We start from the raw sequence: 14,247 nt of genomic DNA, 5'->3' as shown, positions 1-14,247 counted from the left end.
ACAGTTCAATTTAGTCTAAAATTTACAGAGAAACTTTTTATTTTCTTTCTTTCTTTCTTTCTTTTTTTTTTTTTTTTTGAGACACAGTCTCCTTTTGTCGCCCAGGCTGGAGTACAGTGGTGCAATATCGGCTCACTGCAAGCTCCGCCTCCCGGTTTCACGCCATTCTCTTGCCTCAGCCTCCCGAGTAGCTGGGACTGCAGGAGCCTGCCGCCATGCCCGGCTATTTTTTTGTATTTTTTTAGTAGAGACGGGGTTTCACCGTGTTAATCAGGATGGTCTTGATCTCCTGAACTCGTGATCCGCCCGCGTCGGCCTCCCAAAGTGCTGTGATTACAGGTGTGAGCCACCGCGCCCTGTGGACACTTTATTTTCTGAATTAATATTTTACTTCTACTTCAATTCTTACAAGCATGTCCATAGAAACCTATCTCAAGGAGGTCCCGGTGATGTACACAATATTAGTGAATAAAAATTAGACATTCTTTTTTTTGAGACAGGGTTTCTCTCACTTTGTCCCCTAGTCTGGAGTGCAGTGGCATGAACTCAGCTCACTGCAGCTTCAACCTCCCAGGTTCAAGCGATCCTCCCACCTCAGCCCCCCAGGTAGCTGGGACTACAGTTGCGTGCCACCACTCCCAGCTAATTTTTTTGTATTTTTTTGTAGAGATGGGGTTTCACCATGTTGCCAGGCTGGTCTCGAACTCCTGAGCTCAAGCAATCCACCTGCCTCGGCCTCCCAAAGTGCTGGGATTACAGGCGTGAGCCACCGCCCCTGACCAAATACTAGAAATTCTTATTTGTAATAGTAAGAATTTATTCTTATTATTATCCCAGCACTTTGGGAGGCCGAGGCAGGTGGATCACGAGGTCATGAGACTGAGACCATCCTGGCTAACATGGTGAAACCCAGTCTCTACTAAAAATACAAAAAAAAAAAAAAAAATTAGCCAGGCGTGGTGGCGGGCGCCTGTAGTCCCAGCTACTCGGGAGGCTGAAGCAGGAGAAAGGCGTGAACCCGGGAGGCGGAGCTTGCAGTGAGCCGAGATGGCGCCACTGCACTCCAGCCTGGGCGACAGAGCGACATTCCTCTCAAAAAAAAAAAAAAAATTCTTATTTGTAGTAGTTGTCACTTTTCTGCTCTAGGTGAAATTTCTTTAGTGACTTTGAGGAAAGGACAAACTCATAATAATGTTTAAAGTTCTGTGGTCCTAGACATTATCCTAACTTCTAATGCCATAGATGAATTTTGCCTGTTTTTGAACTTTATATCAAGAGTTGGCTGACTGAGGTAGTAGTTACACGGATGTATACATCTTTTAAAATTCATCAAACTCTACACTTAATATGAGTGTAATATATTGAATGTCAACATGTCTCAATGAGGTTGACTTAAAAATTTTTTTAAAAAAGAGTTGGCCAACTTTTTCTAAAAGAGTCCGATAGCAAACATTTCAGGCTTGCAGACCAGATGGCCTCTGTCACAACTACTCAACTCTGCAGTTGTAGCACTAAAGCCATCAAAGACAATACACACATGAAGGAGCATGGCTGTGTTCCAATAAAACTTTAATTATAAAAACAGGTGGCCAACCCATGGGCTGTACTTTCACAACTTCTACTTTATATAAATGGAATCATGTAGTGTGTATTTTTTTTTTTTTTAGATGGAGTCTTGCTCTGTTGCCCAGGCTGGAGTGCAGTGGCGTGATCTCAGCTCATTGCAACCTCTGCCTCCCGGTTCAAGCAATTCTCCTGCCTCAGCCTCCTGAGTAGCTGGGATTACAGGCACGTGCCACTACGCCCAGCTAATTTTTGTATTTTTAGTAGAGACGGGGTTTCGCCATGTTGCTCAGGCTGGTCTCCAACTCCTGATCTCGTGATCTGCCTGCCTCGGCCTCCCAAAGTGCTGGGATTACAGGTGTGAGCCACTGCGCCAGGCCATATGTATTATTTTTTATAGTCTGGTTTCTTTTGCTCAATATTATGTTTGTAAAATTCAGTCATGTTATTATGCATAGTTGTAGTTCATCATTCTTATTACTTAATATGAATTAATTAAAGATTTATTTGGCCGGGAGCGGTGGCTCACGCCTGTAATCACAGCACTTTGGGAGGCTGAGACGGGCAGATCATGATGTCAGGAGACCAAGACTATCCTGGCTAACACGGTGAAACCCCGTCTCTACTAAAAATACAAAAAATTAGCCAGGCGTGGTGGCGGGCGCCTGTAGTCCCAGCGACTCGGGAGGCTGAGGCAGAAGAATGGCGTGAACCTGGGAGGCAGAGCTTGCAGTGGGCCTAGATCGCGCCACTGCACTCCAGCCTGGGCGACAGAATGAGACTCCATCTCAAAAAAAAAAAAAAAAAAAAAAAAAAAAAAAAAAATATATATATATATATATATATATATATATATATATATATATATACACACACACATATGTATTTATATATTTATCCATTCCATTGTCAATGAGCATTTGGGTTATTTTTAGCTTAAGGCTTTTAGGAAAACTGCTGCTATGGGTCGGATGTGATGGTTCCTGCCTGTAATCCCAGCACTTTGGGAGGCCAACGCAAGAGGATCACTTGAGCCCAGGAGTTGGAGGCTGCAGTGATACCAGGAGTTGGAGACTGAAGTGAGCCGTGACTGTGCCACCGCCCTCGAGCTTGGGTGACAGAGCGAGACCATGTCTCAAAAAAAAAACCAAGAAAGTACTGCTATGGTGACGTATTATACCTAGGAGTGGAGTCCGTGTTATGGGCATGTTTATTTTTTATTTTATTTTATTTTTTTCAGATGGAGTCTCGCTTTGTCGCCAGGCTGGAGTGCACTGGCGCGATCTCCGCTCACTGCAACCTCCGACTCCCTGGTTCAAGTGATTCTCCTGCCTCAGCCTCCGGAGTAGCTGGGATTACAGGCACGCGCCACCACGCCCAGCTAATTTTTGTATTTTTAGTAGAGAGGGGGTTTCACCATGTTGGCCACGATGGTCTCTGTCTCCTGACCTCGTGATCTGCCCGCCTTGGCCTCCCAAATTGTTGGGATTACAGGCGTGAGCCACCGCACCAGGCCCACATTTGACTTTTCTCTGTTTTATCATAATGCTGGTTGTACCATTTCAGTGACTCTGTCATCCATGTCTGCATCCCTGCTCCACTGCCACGGACCTCATTCGAGGCCTCATCACCTCAGACCAGACCAGTCCCAAGAAGGAGGTTGTAACTCCTTTTGATGACCTACCTTCTCCTTAAGAGATCATCAGGATGAATCTCATCTCTGTGAACCTCAGAGATTCTGCTGTAGACACTATAGCTCACAGCAGCCTGAAACTCCTGAGCTCAAGTGAAACTCCCACCTCAGCCTTCTGAGTAGCTGGGACTACAAGCGTGAGCCACCACGCCTGGATGATTTTAAAATTTTCAGTAGAGGCCGGGTGCGGTGGCTCACGCCTGTAATCCCAGCACATTGGGAGGCCGAGGCGAGTGGATCATGAGGTCAGGAGTTCGAGACCAGCCTGACCAACATGGTGAAACCCTGTCTTTACCAAAAATACAAAAATTAGCCAGGCAAGGTGGCATGTGCCTGTAATCCCAGCTACTCAGGAGGCTGAGGCAGGAGAATTGCTTGAACCCAGGAGGTGGAGGTTGCAGTGAGCCAACAATGCGCCACTGCACTCCAGCCCTCCAGCCTGGGTGACAGAGGGAGACTCCGTCTCAAAAAAAAAAAAAAAAAAAAATTTAGTAGAGATGAGGTTTTGCCATGTTGTCCAGGCTGGTCTCAAACTCCTGGGCTCAAGAGATCCTCCTGCCTCAGGCTCCCAAAGTGCTGTGATTACAGGCATGAGCCACCTGCAGCCCTTTAGAGAAAGGGGTGCGAGTGCTTTCTCTTCCCCACCCCTCTCACCACTGGGTTTGATGATGGGTTATATGGTTTCCTCACCCCTTCTTGCTGCTTACAGAGCATTTGACTTCTCCTGTGCCTTCAAAACCCTAGATCTTTGCAACCTGAGCGATTAAACTCTACTGCACCACAGTCACTCTTTCTCGTGCCTAAAAACATGAAGCCTTGACTTATGGTCCTCTATGGTACTTGAGGGACAAAAACTCAACTCTTGGTAAAACTGCCTACCCTACACCTGCCTTCAAAGCTGAGCATGGTTGGGGAAACATACACAATTGTGACAAGTGGTCTCACTTTAAATATGTCACCACTAAGTTCAGGTGGTGGGTCCCTCAGCAGCAGTGACTTGCAGTGCCACTGCCTCTATGTAATCAGTTTGCTTTTCTACTTGCTGATTTGATTCATACCAGCTTTCTGCCTACTCAAATCTCTAATGACCCTTTCTGATTTCTTCTCTCTCTCAGTTGATGAAAATTCCATCTCTGCTGCTGTTGACCTAATTTAGGCCCTCATCACCCTGGTGTATGTATAAACCACACAAACATACCATTTAAAGTGTAATTATACAGGGAATATCTCTGTAAATCCAATTCATGGCATTCAAGGTCTTCTATGAGTTGACACTGGCCTCTTTTGCATGTATTTTATTAGATTTATTCCTTAGTACTTCATGTATTGTGATGATACTGTAAATGATATGTCTTAAACTTTTCATTTTCTAAATGTCTATTGCTAACGTATAGAAATATAATTGATTTTTGCATCTTGTTTTTATATCTAGCACTTTAGGTAAATTTTTATCTTTATTTTATTTTATTTTTTGAGATGGAGTCTCGCTCTGTCGCCCAGGCTGGAGTGCAGTGGTGTGATCTTGGCTCACTGCAAGCTCCGCCTCCCGGGTTCACGCCATTCTCCTGTGTCAGCCTCCCGAGTAGCTGGGACTACAGGTGGCCGCCACCACGCTGGCTAATTTTTTTTTTTTTTTTTTTTTTTTAGTAGAGACGGGGTTTCACCATGTTAGCTAGTATGGTCTCGATCTCCTGACCTTGTGATCCACCCGCCTCAGCCTCCCAGAGTGCTGCTGGGATTACAGGCCTGAGCCACCGTGCCCGGCTGTAAATTTTTATATAAATTCTTTTATATTTTTGGCCAGGGACAGTGGTTCATGCCTGTAATCCCAGCACTTTGGGAAGCTGAGGTGGGAGGACCCCTTTAGCCCAGGAGTTCAAGACCAGCCTGGGCAACATAGTGAGAGCCCCGTGTCTACGAAAAATTTAAAAATTAGCAGGGCATGGTGGCACAGGCCTGTGGTCCCAGCTACTTGGGAGGCTGAGGTGGGAGGACTGCTTGAGCCGAGGAAGTCAAGGCTGCAGTCAGCTGTGTTTGTACCACTGCACTCCACCCTAGATGACAGAGTGAGACCGTGTCTCAAAACAACAACAACAAATATTTACTTTAAGGAATAATTACGGCTGAGCATGGTGGCTCACGCCTGGAATCCCAGCACTTCGAGAGGCCAAGGCAGGCAGATCACCTGAGGTCAGGAGTTCGAGACCAGCCTGACCAACATGATGAAACCCGGTCTCTACTAAAAATACAAAAAAAATTAGCCAGGCATGGTGGTGGGCACCTGTAATCCCAGCTACTTGGGAGGCTGAGGCAGGAGAATTGCTTGAACCTGGGAGGCAGAAGTTGCAGTGAGCCGAGATCATGCCACTGCACTCCAGCCTGGGTGACAGAGCGAAACGCCATCTCAAAAAAAGAAAAAGAAAAAGAAAAAGAAAAAAAAAGGCCGGGCACTGTGGCTCACGCCTGTAATCCAAACACTTTGGGAGGCTGAGGCGGGCGGATCACCTGAGGTTAGGAGTTCGAGACCAGCCTGACCAACTTGGAGAAACCCCGTCTCTACTAAAAATACAAAAATTAGCTGGGCATGGTGTCAGGAGCCTGTAATCCCAGCTACTTGGGAGGCTGAGGCAGAAGAATCACTTGAACCTGGGAGGCGGAGGTTGTGGTGAGCCGAGATCGCGCCATTGCACTCCAGCCTGGGCGACAAGAGCGAAATTCCATCTCAGAAAAAAAGAAAGAAAGAAAGAAAGAATAATTACTAAGGGAACCTCTGTAACTAAAACCCAAGTTAAGAAACTATCTTAAAAATTCCCCTCTTTTGCCTCTCTAATCATATCTCCCTCTTCCTCCTTGCTTTTTTAAAACTAGTTTTACTTCTGCGTAAGCATCTTTTTTTTTTTTTTTTTTTTTTTTTTTTTTTTTTTTTGAGACGGAGTCTCACTCTGTTGCCCAGGCTGGAGTGCAGTGGTGTGATCTCGGCTCACTGCAACCTCCAACTCCCAGGTTCAATCGAATCTCCTGCCTCAACCTCCTGAGTAGCTAGGATTACAGGCACGTACCACCACGCCTGGCTAATTTTTTTTTTTTTTTTGAGACAGAGTCTTGCCCTGTCGCCCAGGCTGGAGTGCAATGGTACAATCTCAGCTCACTGCAACCTCTGCTTCCTGGGCTCAAACTATTCTCCTGCTCAGCCTCCTGAGTAGCTGGGATTACAGGCACCTGCCACCACTCCCAGCTATTTTTATTTTTAGTAGAGATGGGGTTTCACCATGTTGGCCAGGCTGGTCTCAAACTCCTGACCTCAGAGGATCTGCCCACCTGGGCCTCCCAAAGTGCTGGGATTACAGACGTGAGGCACCGTGCCCAGCCTCCTGGCTAATTTTTGTATTTTTACTAGAGACGGGGTTTCACTGTGTTGTCCAGACTGGTTTCAAACTCCCGACCTCAGGTGACCCGCCTGCCTCGGCCTCCCAAAGTGCTGGGGTTACAGGCTTGAGCCACTGTGCCCGGCCTTGATTTTTTTTCATTATTTTTAATACTACATAGAAAATTCATTGATTTTTGAATATTTTAAAATACACCCGGCTAGGTGCAGTGGCTTATGCCTGTAGTCCCAGCACTTTGGGAGGCTGAGGATGGCAGATCTCTTGAGCCCAGGAGTTCAAAACCAGCCTGGGCAACATGGCGAAACTCCATCTCTACAAAAAAATACAAAAATGAGCCGGGGTGGTGATGCACACCTATAGTCCCAGCTACTGGATGAGGTGGTGGGGAGTAGGGTAGAGCTGAGGTGGGAGGATCGTTTGAGCCTGAGAGGTTGAGCCTGCAGTGAATCGTTACAGTGCCACTGCACTTCAACCTGGGTGACAGAAAGGGACTCTGCCTCAAAAAAAAAAGAAAAGAAAAGGAAAGGAAAGAAAAGAAAAGAAAAGAAAAGAAAAGAAAAGAAAAGAAAAGAAAAAAGAAAAGAAAAGAGGCTGGGTGAGGTGGCTCATGTCTGTAATCCCAGCACTTTGGGAGGCTGAGGCGGGCAAATTGCTTGAGGTCAGGAGTTCGAGACCAGCCTGGCCAACAGGGTGAAACCCCAACTCTACTAAAAATACAAAAATTAGCCGGGCATGGTGGCGTGCACTTGTAATCCTAGCTACTCGGGAGGCTGAGGTGGAAGAACCTCTTGAGCCTGGGAGGCAGAGGCTGCAGTGAGCCGAGATCACACCACTTGACTGAAGCCTGGGTGACAGAGCAAGATTCCTTCTCGAAATAAAATAAAATAAAAACAAAACCCACAAAACATTCTGCCATAGTTTTTTTTTTAAATGTCAATAGTTGCTTTTAGTTGATTTGGTTGGATTTTCCAGGTAGATACATAATGATAATTTTGCTTTATCTTTTCCAAACGTTTATAACTCTTATTTCATCTCATTTTAAAATTCTTATTTTGTACTTTTTTTGTTTCATGGATTGTCTGCATCAGAATCATTTAGTTATTATTTTTTAAATTGACACATAATCACTGTATATATTTGTGGGGTATACAGTGATGTTTCCATACATCTGAAGTACAGTAATCAGATCAGGGCAGTTAGCATATCCATCATCTCAAACACCATTTCTTTGTGTTGGGAACATTCAATATCCTCCTTCTAGCCATCTGAAACTATATAATAAATTACTGTTAGCTATAGTTACCCTAGAACAAAGAATTTATTCCTCTTCTGTAGTTGTAATTTCGTATCCTTTAAGTGTATAGTTCAGTGGTATTAAGTATGTTGACATTGTTGCACAACAGAGCTCCGGAACATTTTCATCTTGCAAAACTGAAACTGTGTACCCATTAAACAATTCCCCATTTCCTCCTCTCCCAGCCCCTGGTAAGTACCATTCTATTTTCTGTTTAACTACCATTCTATTTTCTGTTTCTAAGAATTTGACTACTCTAGATATCTCGTATGAGGGGAATCACACAGTATTTATGTGACTGGCTTATTTCACTTGGCATAATGTCTTTAAGGTTTGTCCATGTTTGGGTCTGTGTCAGATTGCCTTCCTTTTTAAGGCTGAATAATATTCCATTGTATGTACATAGCATATTTTGTTTATCCATTCATTTGTCAATGGTTTCTTCCTTTTTTGGCTTTGCTTTTTTAACTTTATGTAAATTAATTTGTATCATACGTACTTTTTTACATTCAGCATTATATTTGTGAGATTCATTCATGTGACATGTCTAGCTGTAGCTGATTCATTCTTACTAATAAGTAGTATTCCATTTTATGTATATCATATTCCATAGTTGAAGAGCTTTTAGATTACTTTCAGGTTTTTGCTAATACAAACCACACCCCTCTGATGTCCTTGCTTGCGTCTACTGGTGTACATGTGTTGAGTTTCATGTATGTAGGAGTGGAAATGTGGACTTATAGGGCATATACATCTCAACTTTACTCGATAATGTCAAGGTATTTTCATTTTAACTTGATTTTTTTTTAATTACAAATGAGATTTAGCATCTTTTCAAATGTTTACTGGTTGCTTGAATTATCTTCTTTTGGGAAATGCTCATTTTAAAGTTTTCTCTTATTCCTTCTCTCTCTTTATAAACATTTCTATTATCTGAAATTATGTTTAGATTTACTTTTAAAATGTATGATTGTGGTAAAGAAAAACACATAACACAAAACTTACCACCTTAACTATTAAGTGTACAGTAGTGTTAAGCATATTTACATGGTTGTGTAATGTATCTCCAGAATTTTTCATCTTGTAATGCTGAAACTCTATACCCATTAAATGACAACCCTCCATTCTCCACTACCGCTAGCAACCACTGTTCTACTTTTTTTGTTTGTTTTTTATTTATTTTATTACTTATTTATTTATTTTGAGATGGAGTCTCGCTCTGTCGCCAGGCTGCAGTGCAGTAGGGCGTTCTCGGCTCACTGCAACCTCTGCCTCCCGGGTTCAAGCCATTCTCCTGCCTCAGCCTCTCGAGTAGCTGGGACTACAGGCACACACCACCACGCCCAGCTAATTTTTGTACTTTTAGTAGAGACAGGGTTTCACCATGTTGGCCAGGATGGTCTTGATCTCTTGACCTTGTGATCTGCCCGCGTCGGCCTCCCAAAGTGTTGGGATTACAGGCGTGAGTTGCCTATTTTTTTTTTTAAGGTGTGCACTTTTATTCAACTGGTCTCAAGTCAGTGTACAGGTAAGCCCTGGCTGCCTCCACCCACTCCCAGGGAGACCAAAAGCCTTCGTACATCTCATGCTGGGGGACAAAAAAGGGGGTGCCATGAAGGCAGATCATTCAAAATAAAATAAAATAAAATTTAAAAGTATTGAGGCAAAGATTAAAAAACTTTTGCATTACATAATTTACACAAAAGCAATGCTATCACCTCCCCTGAGTAGACTTGGGAGAGGAATGGGCCATTCTCCTTAGAGAGAAGTGGGGTGGGGCCAGGCGAGGTGGCTCACGCCTGTAATCCCAGCACTTTGGGAGGCCGAGGTGGGTGGATCACCTGAGTTCAGGAGTTCGAGACCAGCCTGGCCAACGTGGTGAAACCTTGTCTCTACTAAAAATACAAAAATTAGCCAGGCGTGGTGGCAGGCACCTGTAATCCCAGCTACTCAGGAGGCTGAGGTAGGAGAATCGCTTGAACCCGGGAGGTGGAGGTTGCAGTGAGCTGAGATTGTGCCATTGCACTCCAGCCTGGGGGACAAGAGTGAGACTTCGTCTCAAAAAAAAAAAAAAAAAAAAAGAGAGAGAGAGAAGTGGGGTGGCTTTTAGGAGGGCAAGGGACTTCCTGTAATAATGCATCTCATGATATTTGGAATGACTATTAAAAAAAAGAACAATATACAATCAAAGTCCTTGGCCACATTGTAGAACTTTGGGGAATGCTTGTGTCAACCGACTGCTGTCACCTCCACCGTTCCAGTTTTCAAATCCTGAATCAGGCCAAAAACAAAAACAAAAACAAAAAACAAAACAAACAAAAAGCAAATACAGCCATGCCAATCTCATCTCGCTTTCTGTGAAAGTTAGGTTTTGTCAAGAAAGGGTGTAATGTAGGCTGGGCGCGGTGGCTCACGCCTGTAATCCCAGCACTTTGGGAAGCCAAGGTGGGTGGATCACCTGAGGTCAGGAGTTCCAGGCCAGCCTAGCCAACATGGTGAAACCTTGTATCTACTAAAAATACAAAAAATTAGCCAGGCTAATGCCTGTAATTATCCTGCACATGCCTGTAATCCCAGCTACTTGGGAGGCTGAGGCAGGAGAATCTCTTGAACCTGGGAGGTGGAGGTTGCAGTGAGCCAAGATCGTACTATTACACTCCAGCCTGGGCAACAAGAGCAAAACTCCGTCTCAAAAATAAATAAATAAATAAAAATAAATCAGCCGAGATCACACCACTGCACTCCAGCCTGGGTGACAGAGCAAGACTCCATTTCAAAACAAACAAACAAACAAACAAAAACAAACCAAAACAAAAAACCCTCTTTGGAAAAAACTACAGGCCACAGATCCTACTGCAACTTGTGTTTGTTTTTCCTGGGTGTGTTCTCAACCTTAGCGAAATAAACTTCTAGACTGATTAAGATCTGTCTCGGACACTTTTTGGTTTACACTAATATACATGAGTGAAAGGCTTTTTTTGTTTTTTGTTTTAGAGACTTTATATTATGAAAATTTTCAGCCATACACAAAAATACTACTCATCATTCAGTTTCAACAATCATCAACATTTTAACATTTTTGTTTATCCCACTCCCATTTCTTTTTTTCCTCTGGACATTTTAAAATGTATCCCAGACACCGTATCATTTTACCCATAAAAGCTTCAGTAAGTATTTCTAACAGATAGGGACTTTTTCTTTTTCTTTTCTTTTTTTTTTTTTTGAGATGAAGCGAGACTCTGTCACCCAGGCTGGAGTGCAATGGCACAATCTCAGCTCACTACAACCTCTGCCTCCTGGGTTCAAGCAATTCTCCTGTCTCTGCCTCCTGAGTAGCTGGGATAACAGGCGTGGGCCACCACATCCGGCTAATTTTTTTGTATTTTTGTGGAGACGGGCTTTCACCATGTTGGCCAGGCTGGTCTCAAACTCCTGATCTCAAGTGATCCACCTGCCTCGGCCTCCCAAAGTGCTGGGATTACAGGTGGGAGCTACCATGCCCAGCACTTTGGGAGGCCGAGGCAGGCGGATCACCTGTGGTTGGGAGTTCGAGACCAGCCTGACCAACATGGAGAAATCCCGTCTCTACTAAAAATACAAAATTAGCTGGGCATCGTGGCACATGACTGTAATCCCAGCTACTCAGGAGGCTGAGGCAGGAGAATCCCTTGAACCCGGGAGGCAGAGGTTGCAGCGAGCTGAGATCAAGCCACTGCACTCCAGTCTGGGCGACAGAGCAAGACTCTGTCTCAAAAAAAAAAAAAAAGCAATTGTAATGTCTTAATATCCCATCTGTGTTCAACTTTCCCCAAATGCCTCAAAAAATCTTTATGGTCAGTTTGAATCAGAATTCAACCTCAGTCTACACAATTTTATTTGGTTGATAAACCTGTTACGTCTCTTTCTGGGTCATTAAGATATTTCTTATGTTCTACATTTGGCTCATTCCATCCTGTGGTGTCATTTAACATGTTTCTCTAGCCCTATCCCCATATTTTCACATATTCCTATGGAAGCTTGGTTAGATTCAGGCTTGATTATTTTGGCACAAATACTACATAGGTGGTCCTGTGTACCTCCCATTGTGTCATATAAGGAGACTTCACTTTATGTCATGTTAAGATTGACCAGAGAGTTTAGGTACTGTCAGTTTGGTACAAACTTTCACCTAATGGCTTTAGCAGTTATTGATGATCATTGTCTAGATCCATGACTTCAGTGGGGGTTGCAGAATGATAACATCCTAATTCTAGCATTCCTTTAGCATTTATTACCCAGAATTATTATTTTTATTTTATTTTTCAATTTGGCACAAATCTCACACTCAGCCCAGAATTATTTTATAAAGAAGAATGTTCTCAGCAATTCACTCTCTTGAGTATGCTTTCACTTCCCTGAGTGTGTAAAAAAAAAAAGAATCTTTTCACACAAATTATTCGGTTACCTTGAAATACAGCTTGTGCAGGAAAACCAGGATACATTCTTGATTTGTTCCTGCTTATATTAGTTTTCTATTGCTACATAACAAACCACCAGAAATGTAGCAATTTAAAACAACACTCACTTATTATCTCCTTGCTCTGGCGGTCAGGCTCTGTTTAGGGTCTCCCAAAGCTAAGATCAAGGTGTTGGCTGGGCTTGAATCTTATCTGGAGGTACTGGAGAAGAATCAGTTTGCAAGCTCATTGGGGTTTCGGCAGAATCCAGTTCCTTGCTATTATAGGTCTGAGGTCCCTTTGCTGGTTGGCAGCTGGGACGGCTCCTAGAGACCATGGGTACATTCCTTCTCATGTATGTGGCGCCCTCCATCTTCAACCAGCAATAGCATCAACTCCTTCTCACGCTTTTTTTTAGATGGAGTCTCACTCTGTCGCCCAGGCTGGAGTGCAGTGGCTTGATCTCAGTTCACTGTAACCTTTGCCTCCCGGGTTCAAGAGATTCTCCTGCCTCAGCCTCCCGAGTAGCTGGGATTACAAGCGCACGCCACCACACCCAGCTAATTTTGGTATTTTTGGTAGAGATGGGGTTTCACCTTGTTGGCCAGGCTGGTCTCAAACTCCTGACCTCAAGTGATCTGCCCACCTCGGCCTCCCAAAGGGCTGGGATTACAGGCGTGAGCCACTGTGCCCAACCCCTTCTCACACTTTGAAGCGCTTTCTCTTCTGCCACCAGGTGAAAAAAATGCTCTGCTTTTAAAAGGCTCACCTGAATTGGGTCAAGCCCACTCCGATAAATCTCTGTATTTTAAGATTACCTAACGGAATTTTGATTTCTTCTGCAAAGTCCTTTCACAGCAGTACCAAGATTAGTATTTGAATAATCCAGAGATAGAAACTTGGTGGTAGTAGGGGGCTGAGGGGCATCATAGAATTCTGCCTATCACAGCTGTATATGTCAGTGGGTTTTGTTGTTGTTGTTGTTGTTGTTATTATTTGTTTGTTTTTGAGACAGAGTCTTGCTCTGTCACCCAGGCTGGACTGCAGTGGCGCAATCTCAGCTCACTGCAGCCTCTGCCTCCCGGGTTCAAGCAATTCTCCTGCCTCAGCCTACTGAGTAGCTGGGACTACAGGTGCCCGCCACCACGCCCAGCTAATTTTTTCCGTTTTTAGTAGAGATGGGGTTTCACCATGTTGGCCAGGCTGGTCTCGAGCTCTTGGCCTAAAGCGATCCACCTGCCTCAGCCTCCCAAAGTGTTGGGATTACAGGTGTGAGCCAATGTGTCCAGACTATATGTCAGTTTTTAAAGTATTAATTTGATAATCTAGCAAAGATGACTCATGAAGTTTGTTTTCCATTAGCATCTTTATGAAACATGGAATTTTTTTTTTTTTTTTGAGACGGAGTTTCACTCTTGTTGTCCAGGCTGGAGTGGAATGGCGCGATCTTGGCTCACCACAACCTCCGCCTCCCGGGTTCAAGTGATTCTCCTGCCTCAACCTCCTGAGTAGCTGGGATTACAGGCATGCGCCACCACGCCCAGCTAATTTTTTGTATTTTTAGTAGAGACGGGCTTTCTCCATGTTGGTCAGGCTGGTCTTGAACTCCCGACCTCAGGTGATTCGCCCACCTCGGCCTCCTAAAGTGCTGGGATTACAGGCGTGAGCCACCGCGCCTGGCCTGGGTTTTATTTTAAAAAAAAAATTTTTTTTTTTTGAGATGTAGTCTGGCTCTGCCACCCAGGCTGGAGTGCAGTGGTGCGATCTCGGCTCACTGCAAGCTCCGCCTCCTGGGTTCACGCCATTCTCCTGCCTCAGCCTCCCAAGTATCTGGGACTACAGGCACCCGTCACCACGCCCGGCTAGTTTTTTTTT

This window comes from Homo sapiens, chromosome X (genome assembly GCF_000001405.40).
Source record: "Homo sapiens chromosome X, GRCh38.p14 Primary Assembly".
Classification (NCBI taxonomy): domain Eukaryota; kingdom Metazoa; phylum Chordata; class Mammalia; order Primates; family Hominidae; genus Homo; species Homo sapiens.
Note: the sequence above shows the minus strand (reverse complement) of the source record.